This window comes from Homo sapiens, chromosome 12, assembly GCF_000001405.40.
Source record: "Homo sapiens chromosome 12, GRCh38.p14 Primary Assembly".
Taxonomy (NCBI): domain Eukaryota; kingdom Metazoa; phylum Chordata; class Mammalia; order Primates; family Hominidae; genus Homo; species Homo sapiens.
In genome coordinates, this window is record NC_000012.12 from 701,411 (window position 1) to 728,702 (window position 27,292).

The 27,292-nt window shown below is 44.3% G+C and overlaps 2 long non-coding RNA genes across 7 annotated transcripts in view, besides 3 other annotated features; one reads left to right on the plus strand and one right to left on the minus strand.

Moving 5' to 3' along the window:
• The window catches only part of LINC02455 (long intergenic non-protein coding RNA 2455), a 44,021-nt gene extending 28,819 nt beyond the window's left edge, over positions 1–15,202 (minus strand). The window contains exon 1 of the long non-coding RNA NR_187480.1: positions 15,094–15,202. This is a non-coding gene — a long non-coding RNA (long intergenic non-protein coding RNA 2455). The remainder of the gene's footprint in view (positions 1–15,093) is intronic.
• LOC101929432 (uncharacterized) overlaps positions 1–26,876 on the plus strand; it is a 38,521-nt gene extending 11,645 nt beyond the window's left edge. Inside the window, exons 2-4 of one of the 6 annotated variants that reach the window (XR_007063153.1) lie at positions 9,565–9,702; positions 23,230–23,447; positions 26,600–26,876. This is a non-coding gene — a long non-coding RNA (uncharacterized LOC101929432). Of the gene's footprint in view, positions 1–1,538; positions 1,953–9,564; positions 9,703–23,229; positions 23,733–26,599 lie in introns of those variants that run through there. The other 5 variants (XR_007063152.1, XR_931541.3, XR_429020.4 and 2 more) reach the window with 5 other exon arrangements.
• Positions 15,085–15,504: a transcriptional cis regulatory region, noted in NCBI's record as "candidate enhancer chr12.51 targeted for multiplex CRISPR interference". NCBI's record gives its function as "positively regulates WNK1 gene expression with high confidence in K562 cells {active_cell/tissue: K562}" and the evidence as "EXISTENCE:mutant phenotype evidence [ECO:0000015][PMID:30612741]".
• Positions 15,296–15,465: a silencer, noted in NCBI's record as "fragment chr12:825872-826041 (GRCh37/hg19 assembly coordinates)". NCBI's record gives its function as "represses an EF-1alpha promoter that drives an FKBP-Casp9 reporter gene in an ReSE screen in K562 erythroleukemia cells {active_cell/tissue: K562}" and the evidence as "EXISTENCE:reporter gene assay evidence [ECO:0000049][PMID:32094911]".
• Positions 18,010–18,059: an enhancer, noted in NCBI's record as "active region_5787". NCBI's record gives its function as "activates an Ori minimal core promoter by ATAC-STARR-seq in GM12878 lymphoblastoid cells {active_cell/tissue: GM12878}" and the evidence as "EXISTENCE:reporter gene assay evidence [ECO:0000049][PMID:35858748]".
• Positions 26,877–27,292: the final 416 nt, after the last annotated feature.

A 27,292-nucleotide genomic window follows, 5' to 3' on the forward strand; every position in this document is an offset into this window, starting at 1 on the left:
ACTCGGGAGGCTGAGGCAGGAGAATGGCGTGAACCCGGGAGGCGGAGGTCGCAGTGAGCCGAGATCGCGCCACTGCACTGCAGCCTGGGCAACAGAGCGAGACTCCGTCTCAAAAAATAAAAATAAAAAAAAGAAAAATGTGATCGGAGGCTCACAGGAACCTCACCCTGTGTTGCCCCTAGGAGCAATGTTTCAGTATTCACAGTAACCTTATGGAAAATGAGAATCGGCTGTATATCGTAGGGAATCTGAAGGCTCAAGGCACATGGAAGAACCACAAAAATCAAGACAAGAAAAAAATGGAAAAAACCTGAAAATTGACTCAAAGGCTTGGCAAATGCAAACACATATATATAATATAAAAATTTTATTTTATTTTTTTACAGAATGGGGTCTCACTATGTCACATATCATGTTGTTTCTCTAGTTATTTGATATGCCAGAATACAGGAAATGGTTAGGGAAAAGAGTTGTTGCAACGTCTCCGCCTTCTCCTGTTATCCTTACAGACGACATTTTGTCTGTAAAAAGTGAATCTCATGCCCCCATCCTCATCAACTCTGTCCTTCAAGAACTGTCAGAAGCCTGTGTGGTAATAATGCCAGGCTTCTCACGTTCAGTGCCTGGGCCTGGAGGGAGGAAGGGTCGGGTCCTTGCAGCTGCTGTTTATCTCACTTCTGTTGTAACCAGAGAACAATGGGTCCTGCTAAGGGAGGGATGAGAATAATACTTCCATTGTTGGCACAGCAACTAAAGATGGGGCTCTGAACTTGGGGATCAGTTCCCGCTCCTCTCCTTGCATTCTGAGTATTCTCAGAAGCACGGCCACTTTTCAAAGATATACTGTTATGCTGGGAAGCCAGGGGAGGAATCTAGTATCCAATACAACCTTGAACCATGCACACACTAAGAATGCAAATAGTCGGGCGTGGTGGCACATCCTGTAATCCCAGCGCTTTGAGAGGCCGAGGTGGGAGGATCGCTTGAGGCCAAGAGTTCAAAACCAGCCTGAGTGACATAGTGAGACCCCCTTTCTCTACAAAAAATAAAATAAATTAGCCAGGTGTGGTGGTGCATGCCTGTAGTCCCAGCTACATGGGAGGCTGAGGCAGGAGGATCACTGGAGCCCAGGAGATCAAGGCTGCAAGTGAGCTATAATCATGCCTTTGCCCTCCAGCCTGGGCAATAGAACGAGACCAGGTCTCTAAAATAATAATAATAAGAAGAAGAATACAAATAAATGGCCTGGAACTCAGACCATACCTATTTGATAGAACGCCATCTTCACAGGTTTGGGTGGGGTAAACTCTTCGGAATCCTCCAGCCCACAGCGTAAGCGTAGCAGGACTAACACGTCTGGGAAGAGGTTCAGCTCACACAGATGGGATAGTGGCAGGACTCTCATTTAGTCACAGTAATTAAAGATGATTGTCAGTTAAGTATACGAAGATGCTCTAACCTTTTTTTTTTTAAGTTCTAGCTTGGAAAATGTGTGATTTTTATATATGTCATCACAGTCTTCATTCACTCTGTCACAGAATCAAGACCGATTCCGTGTGCTCTTGACGATTCTGTTACACTCCTGCAGGTACAGTTTCCTTCCTCTGGGACATGTGATGGCTCCGTGTAAAGGGGATGGGAGGGACTATTTTCTTACCATGAGGTTTACAGGTTTCCATTCCTGTGTTGTTTACAGGTTTCCATTCCTGTGTTATGTTCAGAGAATGCACTGTATTTGCATTTGAAATGTGCCTACTTTGACAGTTCCTAGCAATTGGTCAGTAGGAGGCTGGAGCTTGAAAAATGCGTAGGAGGAAGGTGAAATAGAATGGGATGGCTGCAAAGAGGAAGAGGGAGTGGGAATCCCAAGCAATTTTCAGTTTTGCTACCACTAAGATTCTTTTTTTGTTTGTTTGTTTTTTGTTTTTTGAGACGAAGTCTTGCTCTTGTCCCTAAGGCTGGAGTGCAATGGCATGATCTCGGCTCACTGGTTCAAGCGATTCTCCTGCCTCAGTCTCCCGAGTAGCTGGGATTGCCACCACACCCGGCTAATTGTTGTATTTTTAGTAGAGATGGGGTTTCACCATGTTGGCCAGGCTGGTCTCGAAATCCTGACCTCAGGTGATTCGCCCGCCTCGGCCTCCTAAAGTGCTGGGATTACAGGCATGAGCCACTTAAAAATGGTTAAGATGGTAAATGTTATGTGTTTTTTAATCTCAATTTTTAAAAACGCTTCATGAGGACAGACTTCAAAATTAAATTTTGGCAAGGGGACATTTTTAAGAGAGCCTTTCTCAAACTTGCTTATGGATATATAATTCTCCAAAAATGGTAATAAATCTGAGATCTTGCCCAGTTGTAAGCCTTGGAAAGAGAGATGGCAATTTTTCCCCAAAGTATGCAACCAGAGAAAGACACAGCCTTGAAGAACCATGAAAAAGAAGAAGAAGAACAAGCAGGAAGTTCTCAGGGGAAATAGTGCCAAGTGCAGGCGAGCCTGCCATAAGCGACAAGCGTTGATATGTGGTGTCTGAGGGGACAGGCACTTCTTGGGTCCTGCAGGGGTACTCTGAGTGAGGAAGAATGAGAAACAGCGTGGAGCAAGCCCTTGGGTTCACTCAGGGCTGCGAACTAACTGAAGGTAGTTGCATGCCATGGCCAAAATAAACTGGAAGGAAAAACCATTTGTTGTGACTTTGTTGTGAGTGTAATCACAATAGCAGGTGCTAAACAGGAAGAACCCAGAAAACAATTCTTGAAACCCCATTCAGCGCCTCTGGAGAAAAATGCCTCAAAGTGCTCCAAGACTAGAGTTTGGAAAGCAAAGACGGGCCAGGCACAGTGGCTGACACCTGAAATCCCAGCACTTTGGGAGGCTGAGGTGGATGAATCATTTGAGGTCAGGAGTTCAAGACCAGCCTGGCCAACATGGTGAAACCCCATCTCTACTAAAAATACAAAAAAATTAGCCAGGCGTGGTGGTGCATGCCTGTAATCCCAGCTACTTGGAAGGCTGAGGGAGGAGAATCGCTTGAACCTGGCGGGTGGAGGTTGCAGTGAGCTGAGATCATGCCACTGTACTCCAGCCTGGGAGACAGAGAGAGACTCCATCTCAAAAACAACAACAAAAACAAGAAAGCAAAGATGACAACGGGCGTGGATCAGTGTGTGGACTCTAGTAGCCTGGGACAGGAGCTGAAGACATGCTGTGATCATGGATCCAAGTCCCTCTTGCATCCTTGGCTGCCAGATGGTGATCTGGCCTCGGCCTTGGCTCACAACAGTGAAAGAGAAGCCAAACAGACAAACCAAGAGGAAAGCTAAACCTTGTAGGGGTTTGATTTCAGAGTAACCCCAGCCAACTGTCAACCTGAAACCACTTTCTCAAGGCATTATGACTACCAGGTGCCCAAGCTAGAAATGCCCTATGTAATGCACACATCACAATTACCTGTCCCGCTCATAAATCCACCTTGTTTCCTTTTCCAAAGGCCCTTAAACATTGCCTTAATACAATTAAGATGATACAGGTTGCCCTGGATGCTGCTGAAGAGGTCCCTTTGGAGTATTTTAAGTACTGTTTTCCTTCCTTACCTCCTTTTTTCCTTCCTTCCCTCCCTCTCTCCCTCCTTCCTTCTTTCGTTCCTTCCTTTCTTCTTTCTTCCTTCCTTTCTTCCTTCCCTCTCCTCCTTCTGTCCTTCCTTCCCTCCTTCCTTCCTTATTGTGGCAAAACATCCATATCAACATTTACCTTTAAAAAAAGGTTTTATTTTTGTTTTTGTTTTTTATTACAGATAGGGTCTTACTATGTTGCCCAGGCTGAACTCAAACTCCTGGGCTCAACCAATCCTCCTGCCTCAGCCTACTGAGTAGCTGGGATTACAGATGTATACCATAATGCCTGGACATTTTAACCATTTTTATTTTGTTTTGTTTTTTGTTTTTTGAGACAGAGTCTCGTTCTGTTGTCCAGGCTGGAGTGCAGTAGCAGGATCTCAACACACTGCAACCTCCACCTCCTGGGTTCAAGTGATTCTCCTGCCTCAGTCACCCAAGTAGCTAGGATTCCAGAGGCATGCGCCATCATGCCTGGCTAATTTTTGTATTTTCTGGCAGAGATAGGGTTTTATCATTTTGGCCAGGCTGGTCTCAAACTCCTGGCCTCAAGTGATATGCCCACTTCGGCCTCCCAAAGTGCTGGGATTACAGGCATGAGCCACCGCACCTGGCCCGTTTTAACCATTTTTAAGTATACAAGTTAGTGGCACTAAGTACATTCACAGTGTTATGCAGCCATTACCAATATCTCTGTCCAAAACTTTATCATGACCCTAAATAGAAACTCTGTACCCATTAAAGAGTCACCCCCAGCCCTGGTAACCTCTCATTTCCTTTCCCTATGAATTTGCCTATTCTACCTCAGATAAGTGGAACCATGCGATATTTGTCCTTTGTGAAATATCTTGCTGGCTTATTTCACTTAGCATAATGTTTTCAAGGTTTATTCATGTAGCATGTATCAAAGCTTCATTGCTTTTTAAGGCTGAATCATATTCTATTATAAATGTTTATCACATTTTGTTTATCCATTCACCTATTGATGGACATTTGGGTTGTTTTTAACTTTTGACTGCTGCTACACATTGTGGATGAAATGCTGCTATGAACATGGTGTATAGGTATCTGTTTCAGTCCCTGTTTTCGATTCTTTGGGGGTACATACCTAGGAGTAAAACTGCTGGATGAAATAGTAATTCTATGTTTAATCTTTTAAGGAACTGCAAAACAGCTTTCCATAGCAGCTGCACCATTTTACATTCTTACCAGCAATGCACAAGTGTTCTAGTTTCTATACATCTTTACCAGCTTTTGATTTTGTGTTGTGTTTTTTTTAAAAAAAAATAGCCGTCCTAATGATTATAAAGTGGTATTTCATTGTGTTTTAAATTTGCATTTCTCTATTGACTAGTGATGTTGAGCATCTTTTATGTGTTTGTTAGCCAGCTGTATATTTTCTTTATGGTAGACATTTTTATGTAGAAATAGCTGTTCATTACTCATTTTTGAATGAGGTTTTTTGTTTTCTGTGTGTGGGTTTTTTTTGTTTTGTTTTGTTTTGTTTTTTGCTGTTAAGTTGTAGGAGTTCTTTACATATTCTGGATATTATTTCCATTATTCCCTTATCAGGTATATGGCTTGCAAATATTTTCCCCCATTCTATGGGTTGCCTTTCCACTCTGTTGATAGCATACTTTGATGCATAAAGTTTCCAATTTTGATGAAGTCCAATTTATCTTTTTTTTTTTTTTTGAGATGGAGTCTCGCACTGTCACCCGGCTGGAGTGTAGTGCCACCATCTCGGCTCACTGCAACCTCCACCTCCCAGGTTCAAGCGATTCTTCTGCCTCAGCCTCCCGAGTAGCTGGGATTACAGGCACCCACCACCATGCCTGGCTAATTTTTTTGTATTTTTAGTAGAGACGGGGTTTCACTATGTTGGCCAGGCTGGTCTCGAACTCCTGACCTCGTGATCCACCCTCCTCGGCCTCCCAAAGTGCTGGTATTACAGGCGTGAGCCACCACGCCTGGCCCTGCTTTTTGTTTCCTTTCCTGTGCTTTTGGTGTCATATGCAAGAAATCATTACCAAACCCAATGTCATAAAAATGTTACGCTAATTCTTCCAAGAGTTTCTAAGAGTTGTAATGCTTACATTTACAGTTTTAGGTCTTTGATCTATTTTGGGCTAATTTTTGTAAATGCAGTAAGGTAAGAGTTCAACTTCATTCCCTTCTTGTAGGTATCCAGTTTCCCCAGCACCATTTGTTGAAGAGACTGTCCTTTCCTGGGTTAATTTCTTTTATATTTACATGTTTTTAGTTTCCTTGTTATGGAAGGAAAAGTGGTAATTACAAAAATTGTAAGCAGTGCATAAGCAACATATATTTAAATAAATATGAGAATTAAACTGGGCAACTACCACATAGAGCTAGGTTAATATTGCAAATCTAAGTTTTACCTCATTTATGATGCCCTACCTCCCCAGCCTAGAGTGATTCCTTTCTTTCATTCATCTCTTAGCATTCATTGTCTATAATGTTTCTTAAATTATTAAAAATTTTTAAACCATCAAAGTTATTAAAATTAACCTTTCACTCCAGCCACTGTTGAGGCAACCGACTTTTCTTTTTTTTCTTTCTTTCTTTCTTTTTTTTTTTTTTGAGATGGAGTCTCTTTCTGTTGCCCAGGTTGGAGTGCAGTGGCTCAATCTTGGCTCACTGCAACCTCTGCCTCCCAGGTTCAAGCAATTCTCCTGCCTCAGCCTCCTGAGTAGCTGGGACTACAGGCGCCCACCACCATGCCCGGCTAAGTTTTGTATTTTTAGTGGACACGGTTGCACCATGTTGGTCAGGCTGGTCTCGAACTCCTGACCTCAGGTGATCCACCCGCCTCGGCCTCCCAAAGTGCTGGGATTACAGGCATGAGCCACTGCACCTGGCTGGCCACCAACTTTTCTTTCTTTTTTTTTTTTTTTATTTAAGTTCTAGGGTACATGTGCACAATGTGCAGGTTTGTTACATATGTATACATGTGCCATGTTGGTGTGCTGCACCCATTAACTCATCATTTACATTAGGTATGTCTCCTAATGCTATCCCTCCCCCCTCCCCCCACCCCACAACAGGCCCTGGTGTGTGATGTTCCCCTTCCTGTGTCCAAGTGTTCTCATTGTTCAATTCCCACCTATGAGTGAGAACATGCGGTGTTTGGTTTTTTGTCCTTGTGAGAGTTTGCTGAGAATGATGGTTTCCAGCTTCATCCATGTCCCTACAAAGGACATGAACTCATCCTTTTTTATGGCTGCATAGTATTCCATGGTGTATATGTGCCACATTTTCTTAATCCAGTCTATCGTTGATGGACATTTCTTGAGCATAATTCTTGCGTTCTGTCCCAGAACTTGAAGACTGAGTTGGGGAATGCCTGTGAAACCCACCACTCACCCATGCAAGCATGTCCATGGGGCAAACCTTGACCAGTGGGGGCAGGAACCAGTCCTTCCTTACCTCAGGTGGATCATTCTGAGGTCATTCTGCATGGCTCCCCAGAAGGCCCCAGAGACATAGAGTGCCAGTTGCCCACAGTGAACAATTTGAGAAGATGCCTTTATGATGATTTTTCCTCCTTTCCTGTTTCATTCTTCCCAGTTCCATGAGATCACTCTCTTCCTCCCCCTCCCCACACCATCTTGGCTCACTGCAGCCTTGACCTCCCAGGCTCATGCAATCCTCCTGCCTCAGCCTTCCAAGTAGCTGGGACTACGGGCTCATGCCACCACGCCTGGCTAGTTGTGTTTTTTTTGAGATGGAGTCTCGCTCTGTCACCCAGGCTGGAGCGCAGTGGTGTGATCTCGGCTCACTGCAAGCTCTGCCTCCCGGGTTCATACCATTCTCCCACCTCAGGCCCCCCAGCAGCTGGGACTACAGGCGCCCGCCACCACACCCGGCTAATTTTTGTATTTTTAGTAGAGACGGGGTTTCACTGTGTTAGCCAGGATGGTCTCGATCTCCTGACCTTGTGATCTGCCCACCTCGGCCTCCCAAAGTGCTGGGATTACAGGCGTGAGCCACCGCACCCGGCCAACCTGGCTAGTTTTTGTATTTTTCGTAGAGATGGGGTTTCACCATGTTGGCCAGGCTCATCTTGAACATCTGGGTTGAAGCAATCTGCCCACCTTGGCCTCCCAAAATGTTAGGATTACAGGTGTGAGCTATCGTGCCCAGCCATCTCTTATATATATATTTTTTTAAGTCTAAAATAACAAATGATTTCCTGCAACCAGTGATATAAGACGAAGAGGAAAGCGGCCGTTGGGAATTGGAAAGGATTTGCTATGTGATTAAGACAGAAATACTTGATTTTTGTATTGCGCTAAGCAAAGGCAATAGCCTGAAAATAGCCACTCTTACTTGGGAGTCACTGTCAGTAAACTGGAAGCTATAATTTCTACTGTCTGTCAGTACAGTGCCTTCTTCACAAGAGATTGCTCTATGTGGAGAGTGGGGGGATAATCTTTCATATAGAACTGTGTCATACTCTTTCCTCTTGCCTTTAAAAAAATTTTTTTAAGTGTACAGTTCAGTGGTTTTTAGTGTGTTCACAAAGTCATGCAATCACCGCCACTATTTAATTCCTAAACATTTTGACCATTCCAAGCAGAAACCCATATTCATGAGGGTGGAGCTTCCCTGCCCTCTCCAGGGCACCATCCTCCCAGCACTTCAATGTGTTCACCAACCCAAAAGTTCTCTGAGCCCTGTCGTTTAGGGGTTTTATGGAGGTTTCATTACATGGGCATGGTTGATTAAATCGTTGGCCGTTGGTGGTTGGGAATTAGATCTCCAGGCCTTCTCCCCTCCCTGGAGGTTGGAGGTGGGAGGTGAGGGCGAAACCCTGTAATCAAGGGTTGGCAACTAGCTTCCACGGTGAAGCTATCAACACCACCTCCCACCAGCAAGAGGCATCTCGTTAGTATAAACTCAGGTACAGTTGAAAGAAGCTCATTGTGAACAACAAAAGACACTCCAATCCCCCATCACAAGAGTTTCAGGAGCTCTGTGCCAGGAAGCAGAAACAAAGACCAAATATATTTTCTTTTTTTCTTTTTTTTTTTTGAGACGGAGTCTTGCTCTCACTCTGTTGCCCAGGCTGGAGTGCAATGGCACGATCTCAGCTCACTGCAACCTCTGCCTCCAGGGTCCAAGCAATTCTCCTGCCTCAGCCTACTGAGTAGCTGGGATTACAGGCACGCACCACCACACCCAGCTAATTTTTGTACTTTTCGTAGAGATGGGGTTTCATCATATTGGTCAGGCTGGTCTCGAACTCCCGACCTCATGATCCACCTGCCTTGGCCTCCCAAAGTGCTGGGATTATAGGCGTGAGCCACCATGCCCGGCTTTTTTTTTTTTTTTTTTTTTTTTTTTTTTTAGCAAAGGGAAATTTTGATTTATCCCATCTTTTTTTGGTTATTTTATTTTATTTTCATTATGTTAATTTTTATCTTCTATATTTAAAAAATTATATATATATGGTTTTTTTGGGTTTTTTTTTGTTTTGTTTTTTTGAGATGGAATCTCACTCTGTGGCCCAGGCTGGAGTGCAGTGGAGCAATCTCAGCTCACCACAACCTCCGCTTCCTGGATTCAAGAGATTCTCCTGCCTCAGCCTCCTGAGTAGCTGGGATTACAGGTGTGCGCCACCACGCCCAGCTAATTTTTGTATTTTTAGAAGAGATGGGGTTTCACCATGTTGGGCAGGCTGGTCTCGAACTTCTGACCTCAGGTGATCTGCCTGTCTCAGCCTTCCAAAGTGCTGGGATTACAGGTGTAAGTCACCGCGCCCAGCCTAAAAAATTATGTATATATTAGTTATACATATTTTGGGGGTATCTGTGATATTTTAATACTTTATACAATGTGTAATGATCAACTCAGGGTAATTGGGCTAGCCATCACCTCAAACATACATCTTTTCTTTTCCTTTTTTGTTTTCTTTTGAGACAGGGTATCGCTCTGCCTCCCAGGCTGGAGTGCAGTGGCACAATCACAGCTCACTGCAGCCTCGACCTTCTCGGCTCAAGCAATCCTCCTACCTCAGCCTCCTGAGTAGCTGGGATTGCAGGCATTCATCACCACACCCAGGTAATTTTTTTATTATCTGTATAGACGGGGTCTTGCTATGTTGCCCAGGCTAGTCTCAAACTCCTAGCTACAAGTGATCCTCTCACCTCAGCCTACAAAAGTGCTGGAATTATAGGCATGAGCCACTGCGCCCAACTTCATTAATCTTTTCTTTATGTTGGAATATTACAAATGTCTCCTAGCTATTTTGAAATACACAATAAAGTATTATTAACTAGAATCCCCCTACTGTACTATTGCATTATTTCTTATTATACTACAATATTTTATTCCTTTGAATGAATAATATCCTACTGAGTAATACTCTGTTTTTTTGGGTATACCACATTCTGTTTATCCATGCCTTGGCTGATAGACATCTGGCTTGTTTCTGCCTTTTGGCAATTGTGAACAGTACTGCTGTGAACACTCGTGTACAAGTTGTTGTGTGGACATATGTTTTCATTGATTTTAAGTAAATACCTAAAAATGGAATTGTTGGATCAAATGGTTATTCCATGTTACTTTTTTTTTTTTTTTTGAGACAGAGTCTCACTCTGTCACCCAGGTTGGAGTGCAGTGGCATGATATCGGCTCACCGCAACCTCCACCTCCCGAGTTCAAGCGATTCTCCTGCCTCAGCCTCCCAAGTGGCTGGGACTACAGGCGCCCGCCACCATGCCCGGCTAATTTTTTGTATTTTTAGTAGAGACGGGGTTTCACCATGTTGGCCAGGCTGGTCTCGAACTCTCGAGCTCAGGCAATCCACCCGCCTCGGCCTCCCAAAGTGCTGGGATTACAGGTGTGAGCCACCATGCCTGGCCTCCTTGTTACTTTTTGAGGAACTGCCAAACTGTTCAACTATTTTTAAAAGTGCTTATATATATTTTTAACTTTCTAGATATACTATTTAGGTTCGTAAATCAAAAAGTGTCTGGGAAAGGTCTCAATCAATTTAGAAGTTTATTTTGCCAAGGTTAAGGAAATGCCCGGAGAAAATAACATGGAATCACAGAAACAGTCTATGGTCTATGTCTTTCTCCAAAGATGATTTTGAAGGCTTCAATATTTAAAAGGGAAAAGTGGGATGGAGAGGAAAGAGGAGGGTGTGGTGATCCATATGTTGCAAGGAAAAGGAGCAGGTAGGGGCACGGTCAATTATGTGTTCATCTGATACTCAGTAAATTGGCACCGTACGTAAGATAAGGTGAACATGCAGTAGCTACCTGTGGAGGTTGTTAGCTTTTTCTCTGTAACTCTCTGCTTAGGAACAAAAGGAAAGGCTGCTTCTTGCATGACTCAGCTTTCAGTTTTATTTTTTTTGCTTTCTGCAGAGTGAATTGGGGTGCTGAGTTTTCAATCTCCCAATTAACTTCATAAACTCCTTGAAGGAAGGAACAGTTTTCTACTTCCTAGCATCTGCCACAGTATCTACATTAAGGCCTACACCTAGTATTTGTATGTGAATGTGTAATTAAGACAATATGTCCTTTATCCTGGGAGTCAGTACAGAAAGTGTTACTGTCAGCTGGCTGGTGGACACGTACATATATATAGCTTTCTTTGTTTTCCTTACTTAACATGCTGGAGAAATTCAAGCAGCTGTGGGTGTGTGTATGTCACGGGGAATAGACACTATGGTGACGGTGGTTGGCGGGTGGTGGTGTAAGGGAGATGAGGATTAGGAAGAGTGGCTTACCTAATCCTCTGGTACAGTGTTCATCCAGAGTCCCAGAGTGGGAGAAGAATCCGTTTTTTGTTTTTTTTTGAGACAGAGTCTCTCTCTGTCTCCCAGGCTGGAGTGCAGTGGTGTGATCTCGGCTCACTGCAACCTCCGCCTCCCAGGTTCAAGTGATTCTCCTGCCTCGGCCTCCCGAGTAGCTGGGATTACAGGCGCATGCCACTACATCCAGCAATTTTTTTGTATTTTTAGTAGAGACGGGGTTTCACCATGTTGGTCAGGCTGGTCTCAAACTCCTGACTTTGTGATCCACCTGCCTCGGACTCCCAAAGTGCTGGGATAACAGGCGTGAACCACCACGCCCGGCCAAATCCGTTCTTATTCAAAATGACAGAGCCAACCTAAGCTACATTCACAGACCAGGAGGACCTTCCCTGTGCTCTTCAACTCCTCTCAATCTCTTCATGCTTAGAGAGCCTTACTCCAGAGGTTAGTCAGGACTTTCTCAGCTTTAAGTGCCAGAAAACTAACTTAAACTAATTTAAGCCTACCCCTGCTCCCCACCCCCCACCAAAAAAAAAAAAAAAAAAAGAAAAGCAGGAGAGGAATGTATTTGGCTCTCAGTATTAGAGCGCCTAAACTTCAGGCGGGGCAGGGGTGACGGTCATCAGATTGTGCCCTTGTGCTCAGTGTCCTCCTGACTCGAAGGGCTCTGTTTGATTCTGTCTTGGCTTTATTCTCAGAAAGGTTCTTGTCACCTGGCAGTGAGATGTTCCCTGGCAGCTCCCTTTCCTGTCATTACTTTGCCATAAACATGAGAAAGCAAGGCAACTAAGTTGTATTTACCAATCTGCTGGTAACAATAGTAACCTAACATCCAGCTAAAGCTGATCTCATCATGATGGAAACTCTGGAGACACCCTCAGAGTCGCCCACCACAACAGTGTGACTACTTTTCTCCACACAAATTCTTGTGAAAATGCTAGGCTCACCAACTTGCAACTCACGTTCAGATAGCAAGCACCGAAACCTGTCTGTTCTTATTGGCAACATTGGTGAAAATTACCTGTAGAATGCTTGGAAAATAATCGTGTTTCGGGACCTGTTCTTTGACACTGCCTGCTATTCCTTTCCTTCTCATATCTTTGCTTTGGTCCTGCTCTTCTGTCCTGCAAGGGGTCTAGTGCTGCTGGGCAGGCATTCCTGGAAGAGGACCTCAGGGTGCAGGAGGCTGAGCCAGGTGGTGCGCAGGGCATTGTGTAGGGCACACACGTGAGCTCTTTCTTCAGCTGACCCCAGCATTCCTGCTGGGCTCATGGTACTTACATAGCACTTAGTCTTTTCAATACTAAGAAATGGATCCCTACAATGATGATTGTGTTAGTCTGTTCTTGTGTTGCTATAAAGAAATACTTTAAGGCTGGGTGTAGTGGCTCACACCTGTAATCCCAGAACACTGGGAGGTTGAGGTGGGTGGATCACAAGGTCAGGAGTTTGAGACCAGCCTGGCCAACATGGTGAAACCCCATCTCTACTAAAAATAGAAAAATTAGCCAGGTGTGGTGGCGCATGCCTGTAATCCCAGCTACTCGGGAGGCTGAGGCAGGAGAATTGCTTGAACCCGGGAGGTGGAGGTTGCAGTGAGCCAAGATCGCGCCACTGCACTCCAGCCTGGGCAACAGAGCAAGACTCTATCTAAAAAAAAAAAGAAAAATACTTGAGGCTGGGCACGGTGGTTCACGCCTGTAATCCCAGCACGTTGGGAGGCTGAGGTGAGAGAATCACTTGAAACTGGGAGGTCAAGGCTATAGTGAGCTGTTATGGCACCTCTGCACTCCCGCCTGAGCAAGAGTGAGACCCTGTCTCAAAATTATAAATAAAATAAATAAAAAATAATAAAAAGAAATACCCAAGACTGGGTACTTTATAAAGAAAAGAGGTTTAACTGGCTCACGGTTCTGCAGGTTGTACACAAAGCATAGTGCCGGCATCATGTCACATGGCCAGAGTGAGAGCAAGAGAGAAAGCAGGGAAGTCCTAGACTTTTAAATAACCAGATCTCTCGTGAAGTAACGGGGTGAGAACTCACCACCAAGGGGATGGTTCTAAGTCATTAATGAAGGATCCACTTCCATGATCCAATCACCTCCCACCAGGCCCCACGCCCATCATTGGGAATCACATTTCAATATAAGATTTGGAGAGGGCAAACATCCGAACCATAATAAAACCAGTAATAAAAACTAGGATGCCTTCACAAGCTCAGCTCAATTCAAGGATGAGACTTGGAAGTTCTTTTCTTCTAATATTTAATAGAAATGGGATCTCACTATGATGCCCAAGCTGGTCTCAAACTCCTGGGCTCAAGTGAACCTCTCACCTTGACCTCCCAAAGTGCTGGGATTACAGGCATGAACGACTGCACCTGGCCTCTTTTTTTTTTTTTTTTTTTGAGATGGAGTCTTGCTCTGTTGCCCAGGCTGGAGTGCAGTGGCACGATCTCGGCTCACTGCAACCTCCACCTCCCGGGTTCAAGTGATCCTCCTGCCTCAGCCCCCCCAGTAGCTGGAATTACAGGCATGCGCCACCATGCCCAGCTAAGTTTTGTATTTTTAGTAGAGACGGGGTTTTACCATGTTGGCCAGGCTGGTCTCGAACTCCTGACCTCAGGTGATCCACCTGCCTCGGCCTCCCAAAGTTCTGGGATTACAGGCATGAGCCAACGCGCCCGGCCTTTTTTCCTTTTTTTTTTTTTTTTTTTTTAAATACAGGTTCTCTGTCTGTCATCCAGGCGGGAGTATGGTGGTGCAATCACCGTTCACTGCAGCCTCAACCTCCTGGGCTCACACAATGATCCTCCTACCTCAGCCTCCTGGGTAGCTAGGACTACAGGCACATGCTAGCCTTCCTGGATATTTTTTTGTTTACTATTTTTTGTAGAGACTGAGGCGGGTGGTCTCACTATGTTGCCCAAGCTGGTCTTGAACTCCTGGACTCAAGTGATCCTTCCACCTCAGCTTCCCAAAGTGCTATGATTACAGGCATTTAGCCATTGAGCCTGGAAAAGTGTGAAAGTTCTTTATCCTCTATGTCTTCTGGCCCTCTGTGGCTACTTCTCTATCATCGCCTAAAATTTTTTGAGCCAAGGATGGGAAAAGAAGTGGAGAGGACCGGAGTCTGGCTCACCTCACACAACTGTGTTCCTGCAAGAACTCTAAGGAGATCCAAACTTTTTTTTTTTTGGAGATGGAATCTCGTTCTGTTGCCCAGGCTGGAGTGCAGTGGCGCAATCTCTGCTCACTGCAAGCTCCGCCTCCCAGGTTCATGCCATTCTCCTGCCTCAGCCTCCCGAGTAGCTGGGACTACAGGCGCCCGCCACCACGCCCAGCTAATTTTTTGTATTTTTAGTAGAGACGGGTTCCACCATGTTATCCAGGATGGTCTGGATCTCCTGACCTCATGATCCGCAAGGTGATCCAAACTTCTAAATTTAAACCTGGTCAACATTATGACAACATATTTGTCAAGGTAGAAGAATATAAAATGTTAACAATGTGCTTGCTTAATGTATACATTTTAAATATCAAGTCTAGAGTTTCTTTCTTCGTCTGTGCCTTGGGTCTTGCAAATGTTAGAAGCAATTCTCCCTCTCTTTTTTTCCTCTTCTTGCCAACTCTGCTGAGGTCTGGTCTTAGCATTCTCATTAAAAGAAGGGAACCCAAAGCACTTACCTTGCCTTTTCCTGTCTTGAATTTGTATCAGCTATGCCTTCTATATAGGAGAATCACCGACAGACTCAAACTCTAGTGAGCAGAGACAGCTTGGGAAAGAGTATGATGTGATTAATGTACTTAAGTCTCATTTGGCAAAAGTTGTTGGGTGTTAAAAGGAAGAAAACAAGCATGTCAGAGTGGGTTAAGAATAGAAAGCTTCATCAGCAGCTGCAAGAAGCCCAGGCATGATAAGCAGGGGTATGCAACGTGAGTGAGCACTCGCCTCATGGAAAAAACAGCTCACAGCAGGAGCTCACAGAACTTCCATTGCCTTTCACTGACAACTTGCATTCATTGTCACACGACCCACCTGGGAGGGGAGATTTATTATGGTTTCTTGAAGATGAGGAAACTGAGGCACAAATAACTCAAGTATTTATGGTATGTTAATGATATTGCAATTTTTTTTTTTTTTTTGAGATGGAGTCTCTCTCTGTCGCCAGGTTGGACTGCAGTGGCGCCATCTCGGCTCACTGCAACCTCTGCCTCCTGCATTCAAGTGATTCTCCTGCCTCAGCCTCCTGAGTAGCTGGGACTACAGGCGTGTGCCACCACGCCCTGCTAATTTTTGTATTTTTAGTAGAGATGGGGTTTCACCATGTTGGCCAGGCTGGCCTTGATCTCCTGACCTTGTGATCCTCCCGCCTCAGCCTCCCAAAGTGCTGGGATTACAGGCATGAGCCACTGTGCCTGGCATCAATTTTTTTTTTGAGATAGGGTCTTGCTCTGTTGCCCAGGCTAGAGTGAGGTGGTGTAATCACAGCTCACTGCAGCCTCAACCTCCCAGGCTCAAGCCATCCCCCAACCTCAGTCTCCTAAGTAGCTGGCACCACAAGCATGTGCCACCGTGCCTGGCTAACTTTTAAATTATTTGTAGAGAGGGGGTCTTACTGTGTTGCTCAGACTGGTCTCAAACTCCTGGGCTCAAGTGATCCTCCTGACTTGGCCCCGCAAAGTGCTGGGATTAGAGGGGTGAGCCACCACACCCAGACATAGACCAATTTTTTTTTTTTGAGACGGAGTCTCACTCTGTCGCCCAGGCTGGAATGAAGTGGCTCACTGCAACCTCCGCCTCCCAGGTTCAAGTGATTCTCCTGCCTCAGCCTCCTGAGTAGCTGGGATTATAGGCGTGTACTACCAAGCCCGGCTAATTTTTTTTATTTGAGACGGAGTCTCACCCTGTTGCCCAGACTGAAGTGCAATGGTGTGATCTCGGCTCACTGCAACCTTCACCTCCTGGATTCAAGCAATTCTCCTGCCTTAGCCTCCCAAGTAGCTGGGATTACAGGAGCGTGCCACTGCACCTGGCTAAGTTTTTGTATCTTTAGTAGAGACAGGGTTTCACCATGTTGGCCAGGCTGGTCTCGAACTCCTGACCTCAGAAGATCCACCCGCCCTGGCTTCCCAAAGTGGTGGGATTACAGGCGTGAGCCACCGCACCCGGCCAGCTCAATTTTTTTTTTTTTAAGTCAAGTATCTTGCCCAAGGTCACAAAATAAGACGACTAAATCATAATGTTTGACCAGGAACAGTTACAGAATTTACAGGGCCCATTTACAGAATTTCCATTCACAAAAGGAAAATGTGGGACCCCTTGTTCAATTACTACGAGGAATTTGAAGACAGTGACAGCGGAGATGGGAACTCTGGCCCTGCATATGTCGCTTGCCCAGGAAGCCAGCCCTTTACATGGTACAGGTAAAGCCAGGCATAGACCTCAGGTCTCGTGGTTCCCAATCAGGTGTGTAAATGTCTCAAGCAGACAAGTGGTTCTCAAACACAGGGACACCAATGCCTGGGGTTCCTCTATTTCTCTATTGGTTAGACTTTTTGGGGTTGCTTTACTGTCATCACTCAAGTTTAAGAAACACTGGGGCATCTCTCTTCCTATCAAAGGTCAGTCCCTCCACACAGCGACAGAACCATGTTTTGTGGGGTCCTGAAACCTACATAACTCGAGGGGCCTCTTTAAGAAAAAGAATATAAAATTATGGCTGGGCTCAGTGGCTCATGCCAATCCCAACTCTTTGGGAGGCCGAGGCGGTTGGATCACGAGGTCAGGAGATCGAGACCATCCTGGCTAACACAGTGAAACCCCGTCTCTACTAAAAATACGAAAAATTAGCCAGGCGTGGTGGCCGGCACCTGTAGTCCCACCTAGTCAGGAGGCTGAGGCACGAGAATGGTGTGAACCCGGGAGGCGGAGCTTGCAGTGAGCCGAGATTGCGCCACTGTGCTCCAGCCTGGGCGACCATCTCAAAAAAAAGAAAAAAGAAAGAAAGAAAAAGAATATAAAATTATAAATAAAATGTAAGTGTTGACAGGCCCATGCAAGTGAGGAGCCCTAAGTCTTTGGCTTCATTGACTTTGTGATAAATCTTTCTCTTCCTGCACCTGTGTCCCTGATGTCATCTCCTGTCACCTTCTCAAGGACTTGGCTTCTTTGATTATCCCTTCCCTTTCCTGTGTCTTTAACTTCACTCCATCTACCACTATTTACATGCTTTTGTCCTCTTTGACTTCTCGTCTCTCTCCAGGAGCCTTCCTTGTCTCTGATCTCTTCAGAGGCAACCTTCTCGGGAGAGTTAAGTCTTCACACACTACTCCTTCGCCTTCCATTCCCCTTCCTCCTGTTCCTGCCGTGACTGAAGTGCGAGTCAGTCACTCTGCTCGCGGAGTTCAATTAACGAGAGTGAGGTCTGGTGGAAAGAAAGTGATTTATTTCCAAAGCTGGCTTAGGGGAAGAGGCACAGGCATCCTGCCTTTAAATGTGCACTTCTCTTTTGGAGCAGAAAGCAGGCACTTTTAAAAGTCAGGGGAGAGAGCAAGCAAGGCAGGGCCTTATCTACTGGGCAGCCGAGCTGGTGACTGCTGGCATCTTACTAGGCTGAAAACTCTCCAAGTGGGAGAGAGCAAGCAAGGCAGGGCCTTGTCTACTGGGCAGCCGAGCTGGTGACTGCTGGCATCTTACTAGGCTGAAAACTCTCCAAGTGGGAGAGAGCAGTGGGCGTGCTTTTTGACTGCTATCTCTCTAGCAGCCTCCTGGAGGGTGAGAGTTCCATTGTGGGCATACTTCGGTCGGCAAATGGACTGTTAACTCTCGAGGAGAGTTCAGTCTGGAAGCACAGTTAGAAGAACTTGCCCTGTAGGGAGTGTCTGGTGAAGGGGAAGTAAAAGGCTACATTTGCATTTCTTTTTTTTTTTTTTTTTTTTGAGACGGAGTCTTGCTGTCGCCCAGGCTGGAGTGCAGTGGTGCCATCTCGGCTCACTCTTAAGTTCCGCCTCCCGGGTTCACGCCGTTCTCCTGCCTCAGCCTCTTGAGTAGCTGGGACTACAGGCGCCCGCCACCACGCCCGGCTAATTTTTTTTTTTTTTGTATTTTTAGTAGAGACGGGGTTTCACCGTGGTCTCGATCTCCTGACCTCGTGATCCGCCCGCCTCGGCCTCCCAAAGTGCTGGGATTACAGGCCTGAGCCACATATTTGCATTTCTAAAAGACAAGTAGGAAATGAAGAACCAAGGAAGTGAGAAAAGAAGAGAGAGAGAAAAAAATAATTAAAATATCTCTTAGAAAAAACTGTGAATACTCGGTTACGCTACCTTGCTTCTGTTCCCATCCCTTTGCTGAAAAATGGATTTTGTCATGTTTCTCAACAATATATAGCTTGCTTGTTGCTTGAACCTATGAATCTCCACTCATTTCTACTACTGGACCTCTCAGCAACATTCGCCATAGCTGGGAACTCTCTTTTTCTTCAAGCTCCTTTCTCGGCTTCAATGACCCCACAACCTCCTTGTTTTACTCTTTAGGTCTCTGGTTGTTCCCTTTGTTCTCTTTTGCAGGGCCCTTGTGTTCTACACAAACTCTAATAGTGTGATAGATGAAGTAACTAAACCATACAGGACTCAGTCCTAGTGTATTAGTCCGTTTTCAGCCTGAGACTGGGTAATCTATAAACAAAAGAGGTTGAATTGACTCACAGTTCTGCATGGCTGAGGAGGCCTCAGGAAACTTACAATCATGGTGGAGGGCAAAGGGGAAGGAGAGACCTCTTCACAGGGTGGCAGGAAAGAGAGAGAGAGAGAGAGCACAGGGAAAACTGCCTCTTCTAAAACCATCAGATCTCCTGAGAACTCACACACTATCACAAAACAGCTTGGGGAAACGGTCCCGATGATCCAATCACCTCCCACCAGGTCCCTTCCTCCACACGTGGGGATTACAATTTGAGATTAGATTTGGGTGGGGACACAGAGCCAAACCATATCACCTAGAGCCCTGATCCCTTTTTTTTTTTTGAGATGGAGTCCGGCTCTATCACCCAGGCTGGAGTGCAGTGGGGCGATCTCTGCTCACTGAAACCTCCACCTCCCAGGTTGAAGCGATTCTCCAGCCTCAGCCTCCCAAGTAGCTGGGACTATAGGTGTGCGCCACTGCATACAGCTAATTTTTTTTTTTTTGGTATTTTTAGTAGAGATGGGGTTTCACCATGTTGGTCAGGCTGGTCTTGAACTCCTGACCTCAGGTGATCCGCCTGCCTCAGCCTCCCAAAGTGCTGGGATTACAGACCTGAGCCACTGGGCTGGGCCATAGCCCCTATCTCTTCTCTATTTATACACTCTTCCTAACCACTGAGGTGGTGATATTTGCATCAAGAACTTAAGGAGGTGAGAATATGTGGCCATCTGAGGTAAGAGCATTCCAGGCATGAAGGAGACAGCAAGGAGGCCAGTGTGGTGGAGTGAGTCAATGACAGGGAAAGAAGCTGGAGATGAGGTCACAGGTAGTGAGAATGGTGGACAGATCACGTGAAGCCTAAGTCGGCCATTGTAATGCCTTTGCCTTTGGTTTTTCCTCTGAGCAAGGTGAGATGCCAGTGCCGGGCTACGAGCAGAGGCTGCCATGGTTCTAGCTTACATCTTAGTAGGATCACTCTTATGTGCTAAATGTGAACGAACGGGTGAACGAACAGAGGAGTGGATGGAAGAGCATGGAAACAAGAAAGAAAATAGAGGGCCAGGCGCAGTGGCTCACACCTGTGATCCCAGCACTTTGGGAAGCCAAGGCGGGTGGATCACCTGAGGTCGGGAGTTCAAGACCAGCCTGGCCAACATGGAGAAACCCCGTCTCTACTAAAAGTACAAGATCAGCCGGTCGTGGTGGCAGATGCCTGTAATCCCAGCTACTTGGGAGGCTGAGGCAGGAGAATTGCTTGAACCCGGGAGGCAGAGGTTGCAGTGAACCGAGATTGTGCCATTGCACTCCTGTCTGGGCAACGAGAGTGAAATTCTGTCTCAAAACAAAAACGAAAACAAAAATAAAAACAAAAGTTATCCGGGCATGGTGGCACATGCCTGTAATCCCACCTACTGGGGAGGCTGAGGCAGGAGAACGGCTTGAACCCGGGAGGCGGAAGTTGCAGTGAGCTGAGATCGCACCACTGAACTCCAGCCTGTGACAGAGCGAGATTCCTCAAAAAAAAAAAAAAAAAAAGAAAGGAAGGAAGGAAAGAGAGAGAGAGAGAGAAAGAAAGAAAGGAAAGAAGGAGATAAAGAGAAAGAAATAGAGAAAAGAAAGAAAGAAAGAAAGAAGGAAAGAAGGAAAGAAAGAAAGAAAGAAGGAAAGAAAGAAGGAAAGAAGGAGATAAAGAGAAAGAGAAAGAGAAATAGAGAAAAGAAAGAAAGAAGGAAAGAAGGAAAGAAAGAAAGAAAGAAGGAAAGAAGGAGATAAAGAGAAAGAGAAAGAGAGAAATAGAGAAAAGAAAGAAAGAAGGAAAGAAGGAAAGAAAGAAAGAAAGAAAGAAAGAAAGAAAGAAAGAAAGAAAGAAAGAAAGAAAATAGGAAGACTCATGGAGAAGTATAACTCCAGGGTCTCTTCGTCACCACATTACAGACATGAAGACCATCTAAGGTGCCAGCGTTGCTTGCTGCAGCTGTCTCCTCAGGCTTGCAGGAGGGGCAGGGAAGACACTTGAGCTCAGGAGAGAAAAGAAGCAGCTGGCTGCTGGTGAGATGGGAGGAAGACCTGAGGCAGCTTCATTGTCACTAGAAACCTGACCCTTTTGGGTTTAGCCAGACAATGACCGCCTTGGCCGGGGAATGTTGGGGAAAACCTGCCAGGTTTTCAGTCTGCCTCTCAGCCTAGACAACCTCTAAAAGAGGAGTGTATCTCTTGAATTGGCAGAAATGAGACACAGCAGAGGGGAGAACTAACATTTCTCCTTAGCACACCATGCAGACTGTCAAAATGAGTTGCCGAATCTATTTTATTCTAACCGTGAGAAAGTAAGGCATCCATAAACAGAGGAGAAGTTATAATTGTGGGGTTTAGAATTTAAGGAGCTCCAAAATGGCTCCTCTAGATAAATTTATCTCTGCTAATCATTGTTTACCTTTGCTGTGTTCTTTTATTTTTTATTTTTTTAAGAATGAAATTAAATTTTTCCTTTTCATAAAAATAGTACATGTACATGGTTAAAAATTCCAGCAGTACAAAGGATATACAATGCTAAGTAAGTCTTTCAACAACATAATGTAAAGTCTTCCTAAATTCATCTGTGTCTTTAACCCTATTCCAGTAAAAATGCTATCAGAATATTTTAGGCAATGCTAAAGTAAACTGGGAAAAGTAAATGTGCAAAAACATGATGAAAATTCTGAAACAGAGAATAACAGAGGAAGATTTACCCTAGAAGGTGAAAATATAAAAGTATATAATTAAAAGCTTGGTAGTGGCACAGGCATAGACAGATTAATGGTACAAAGCAGTATGTAGAAATAGCCCAAATATACCTGGAAATGGAGTATTAAGACAAAGGTAGAATTTTAAGATTTGAGGGAAAAGATTACTAATAAATGGAGTTGAATCATTTACCTTAGTAACTAGAAAAAAATAAAATTGGATCCCTATCTCATTTCTTATACCAAACAAAGTTCAGATGAATCATATATTTAACATTTAAAAATAAAACCATAAAAGTACTGAAATAAAACATGGGAGAAATAAAAAAATAATTCTGGGTGATGTTATAAACTGAATTGGATTCCCCAAAATTCATGTTTGAAGCTCTAACCCCCAGTATCTCAGAATGTGACTGTATTTAGAGATAGGGTCTTCAAAAAGGTAATTAAGTTAAAATGAAGTTGTTAGGGTGGGCCCTAATCCAGTATGACTGGTGTCCTTAAGAGATCAGGACCCAGGCAAGCAGAGAGATAAGACTGTGTGAAGACACGTGCAGAAGGTACCTGGCAAGTCCCGGACAGAGGTCTCAGAAGAAACCAACCCTGCCTACACCTTGATCTTGGACTTTTAGTCTCCAGAACTGTGAGGAAATAAATCTCTGTGTTGTTTAAGCCACTCAGCCTGGGTTACTTTATTATGGAAGCCCTAGCAAACCAATATGGGGATTAAATCTTTCTAAGCAAGAGACAAGGTTCAGAAGCAGTGAAAGAAAAGATTGATAAATTTAACTGCATAAAAATGGAAAATTTCTTCATAAAAACAAAAACGAACTGCAACAACAATAAAAAGCTCCCCCCATCAATTAAAACACAATAATAAATTGGGAAAACATAATGACCCTCAAAGAGCTAATTTCCTTAGATTGCCAGATTCATTCATCCTCTCTCTCTCTCTTTCTTCCTTTCAAAGCTGGAATTTCAAATTTTTATACGATATCTCCTGAAGGTTTCATGTTGAAAACTAATTTGATTTTTAAACACACTGTACAAGCCAACACAGTCTGGGGCTCCTGGTTTGGGATCTCTGGTCTAGACCACCACCACAGGGGGCCTTCCCTTCAGCAGATCAGTCCAAAATGGCCTATGAGTCCTTTTTAAGATCTCACTGCCACTGAGTATACAGAATGAAGATTTCATTTTAGTCATCCAGAATTACACACACACACACAGGCATGCCCGATTATTCTCTCTCACATACAGTATAATTTGGAGCTGTATTATGGAAGGAAACCATTTCCCTATATGCAACATAATATGTGTTGATCCTTCCCCTGCCCAAACGGGAACAGTGCTTTAGGTTTTTTTGTGCAGGGCTATGTGAGTCACTTCCTTTCTCCTTGCCTTATATGGTAGCACCAGGCCCAGAGGCCTACCTGCAGAACCAGGAGCCTTCCCAGAGATGCCTGTTGATGGATGGCTACACTGAGAACCTGAAATAGCGTGCAAATAACTCTCTTCTCTGTACTTGAAGCCAAATCGCATTCCCAGGCAGACATATCCAGCGGGGAAAGAAGAAACAAGAAAATGAATGATCCACTTGCACAAGAATCTCTCCTATGAGCAAGTGTTAGGTGAGGGTGGGGATAAGATGCCTGTCTCGGGAGACAAGGCTGTACAAATTCATAATTTGAATTTTTATGGTTAATTTTATGGTTAATTTTATGGAATTTTATGGTTAATCTTGGATAGTGGGATTTGGGATAAATTTGCTTTTATAATATGTAATTGTATTTTCTGAATTTTCTACAGTGAACTCGTATTGCTTTTATGAACAGGAAAAAGAACAACAAATGCCATAAAAATCATGTAGTATATTAATCTTGTCTTCCTAACAAGACTATATAAGTTCCCTGACAGAGGGAGTCACTTGTGTGTGTATGTGGTATCCTTTCCCATACCTGCGGTGTTGGGCTCATGGCATCCACTTAATGAACGCTTGCTGTCAGTCATTGATTTGGAGTCTTCTCCAGAGCTAGTCCTGATGGAGGTCACCAGACAAGTCTTGCCTGGGTCAGAATGACCCTTGTGGAACTGACTGGAAAGCAGATCTGTGGGTTGGACAGGTTTCACCCTGTATTCATTTTGCCCCACAGGCACCAAGATGTGCAATGCTGTATTCCAGGACTCTGCACCAGCAGCCTGTCATTTGGTATTATTTTTGACTTCAGTTAGTGTTTGCTGGTTTACAACAGGGTTTCCACTCACAGGTTTAAAACTGATTGTGTTTATCATCTATCAGCTTGAATATTATTTCAACCAAGAAACCTCCCCTGATCTCCTTACCTAGAAGTAATCTTTTCTTCCTCTAAGTTTTATTATATGCTTTTTACCTCCACATCATCCATCACTTTCTAAATTTGTGTTATAGTTATTTATGCACACATTTCATCTCCCCTCCTAAACTCTGTGTTTCCTAAAATTTGGATCCATTCTTCCATGGCTTGCTTTGTCCTATAATAAGACAACAGCTACCATGGTTCAAGCAGTTACTTGTGTGCCAAGCCCTTTACACGGACAATCCTGCTTAGGCCTCACAACTACTTCCCATGAAGTATTTTCACCTTCATTTTACAAGTGATAAACCTGAAGTCCCGAAAGATTAATATAATATCTGGTATAATGTGACACAGCTACTGAGTGGTACAGCCTGGATTTGAATTCAAGTAGCCTGACTTGAGAGTCTCTGCTCTTAACCACTGGGCCATAGCACCCCTGAATAACGCTTTCTGCACATTGTCAGCAGTAAAGGTGCAGTGGACACCTGTTACGTGAATTCATTAATCAGTTCATTCATGATCCAAGGATGTTGGGCAGCTGTTAGACCATCGCAGTTTCAGATACCTCTTCTGACCTACACCTTAGGACGGCTAAGGCTCTAAAGGACTTAGGAATAAAATCAGGGTTAGATCCTTTCATATCCAAACCACTATCAAACTGAGTTCTTCCAAGACTAACATTAGGAACGTTAGAGTTAACCCAAGACACTGCTTCACAGTGCCATGCAGACCTAGCCGAGTCTGATAACTTCCTAAAAAGGAGACGTTACACATCTCAAAGAACTGAATTACATAACTCTTTGAACTGTGGTGTTTGTTGTGTGTGTCAGAGGGAGAGGGCAGCCATATCTACCTTGTAGGGTTATTGTGAGGTTTAATGAGATAATGTGAATTGCCCAGAACAGTGCTTGGTACATAGAAAGAACTTCACACGTTAACACTACCCTCCCCTCTAGCCTCATCCCTGCTTTGCAGCTAAGCTGAAAGAAGGCACAAAGCCAAGAGGAGAGATGAAAGATGACAGCTGGCAACACGAGAGATGTTAGTCAGATTCCACAAGGTTACGTGATTGTGAATCAGAGGTGTCAAGGTCCACTCCCAAGGTTCCAAAGAGCAGCTTCTAGTCTTGCAGGAAAAGTTATAGGCAGGAGAGGGATCAGTGAGAGGCCTAATGGAAGAAAAAGGAAGTATTTATTCCTAGCAGAGGGTGAAATTCATCCTTGGGATTCTTTTACTGTGATGAGTGACTATTTTGTTGTCCAGAATTGGATTGGTTTAAGGGCATTCAAAGATCTACAGATCTCACTGAGTTGTCTGCATTTTACTGAGGAATGGGAAGATTAATTGTGGGCACCTGCCAGTCTAGTCATCCCACTTAATGTAACCAGCCCCAGAAAATTCCTCCCTCATTCCAGAAACCACTAAGTCTCTTGACTCTGTGAAGTTTGCACATCTGTCTGGAAAAAGGCAGTTCAGGTCTCATTTTTCCCAAGCAGTAGAAAAAGCCAATCTCAGTAAAGCTAGAAGTTTGTCCTAAGAATCTGGAAGGTTACTTAAAAGATATTTCAATAACCTATGTCTTAGGTAAAGCTCCCCAGAAACAGACTCCTAGACAGAGATGTGCATGCAGGGCTCACTGGTTTGTTGTTCATGGGGAGTACAGAGTGACAACTCTTGGGAGTCAGGGAAGCAGAACTGGACAGAGGGAGAAGCTGAACTATAGTATCATTGCTATAGAGGCTTCAGCTGGGCTTATGGGGCACGGAGTGACAAAAGTGCTAAGTTACCTCCGATGAGGCAACGTGTGGGCCTTTGTATCCATTAGTGACCATTCATTTGATGGTGCCTGACCTCAGGGAAGGGGTGTAGCCTTGTGCAAGGCCCTTGCTGAGAGCCATTCCAAGAGATGGACTCAGCTATGAGGCACCAACAGCTACCAGTGCGAGGATCCGAGTATCCACCATAGCCTGCTGTGCAACTCTGAGTCATATTTAAAACTCAAAATCTGTGAGAAATGCTGGTTTGTTGGCTTATTTTTTATTTTTAGAGACAAGGTCTGTCTCTGTCACACAGGCTAGAGTGCAGCGGCACTTTAACCTTGAATTCCTAGGCTTAAAGAAGCCTACCACCTCAGCCTCACAAATAAGGATTGCTGGAGCCCGGGAGGTCAAGGCTACAGTGAGCTGTGATCATGCCACTGCACTCTAGACTGGGTGACAACAACAACAAAATACCCTTACTTGTCAAACCCTTGGAAGCCCTTGGAAGAAAAGATCAGAGCTTGTTAGGTCTTGGGGAAAAAAAAAAAGAAATAGACAAGCAATATCACCCATCCAGTGGTTCCCCTCTATGGCTGACCCCTTATATTCCCAAAGCATTTTTCTTGCATATATCACTTAGAATCTGTCTTATATTAAATAACTTTTTGTTTTATTTTTGTTTTTCAGAAATCCATTGCTTGCTAATGTTTGTTTGTTTGTTTTTGGAGCTGGTGTCTGGAGCTGGTTCTCCACCTGTTGTGAGTTCCTGGAAAGATCTCAAGACCTATCCCATTTTCCTCCTAGTGAAGGTTGATATTCATAATAGTTGACACTCAGTACAGCACAGACACCGACCAATTCAAACTGACAGAGGTCTTAAGCAATTTTCATGACAATATTGGTGTATAGAGCTGAATATTTGTTCTACACATAGAAGGCATCCAATAAAAAATTTTGAATTGAATTTTATTGGTTTAGTAGTCCTGGCTGTGGTATCTAATGGCCTTCTTTCAGAAGTCAGGCAGCTTTTAATTTTTTTGTCCAAATATGATCATAATGATTTCTTTTCCTCCTTGATTTAGATTCTGCAGGAGTCTGTGAGTAATTTCGAAGAACTTTGCAAAAAACAGGACACTCTGTACCTGCAACGCCCGATATACAGCCTCTAGTCACAAGTATAAGGTTGTTAGGTAAAATATGGCATGCTCAGTTAAATTTGAATTTCAGATAAAAAAGGATAATTTTATAGTATAAGTGTATTCCATGCAATATTTGGAGTGTACTTCAGCTACAGAATTATGTGTTGCTTATTTGTAACTGATAATTAACTGAGCATCCTGTACTTTATTTGTTAAATCTAATAACCCTACTCATGAGTAT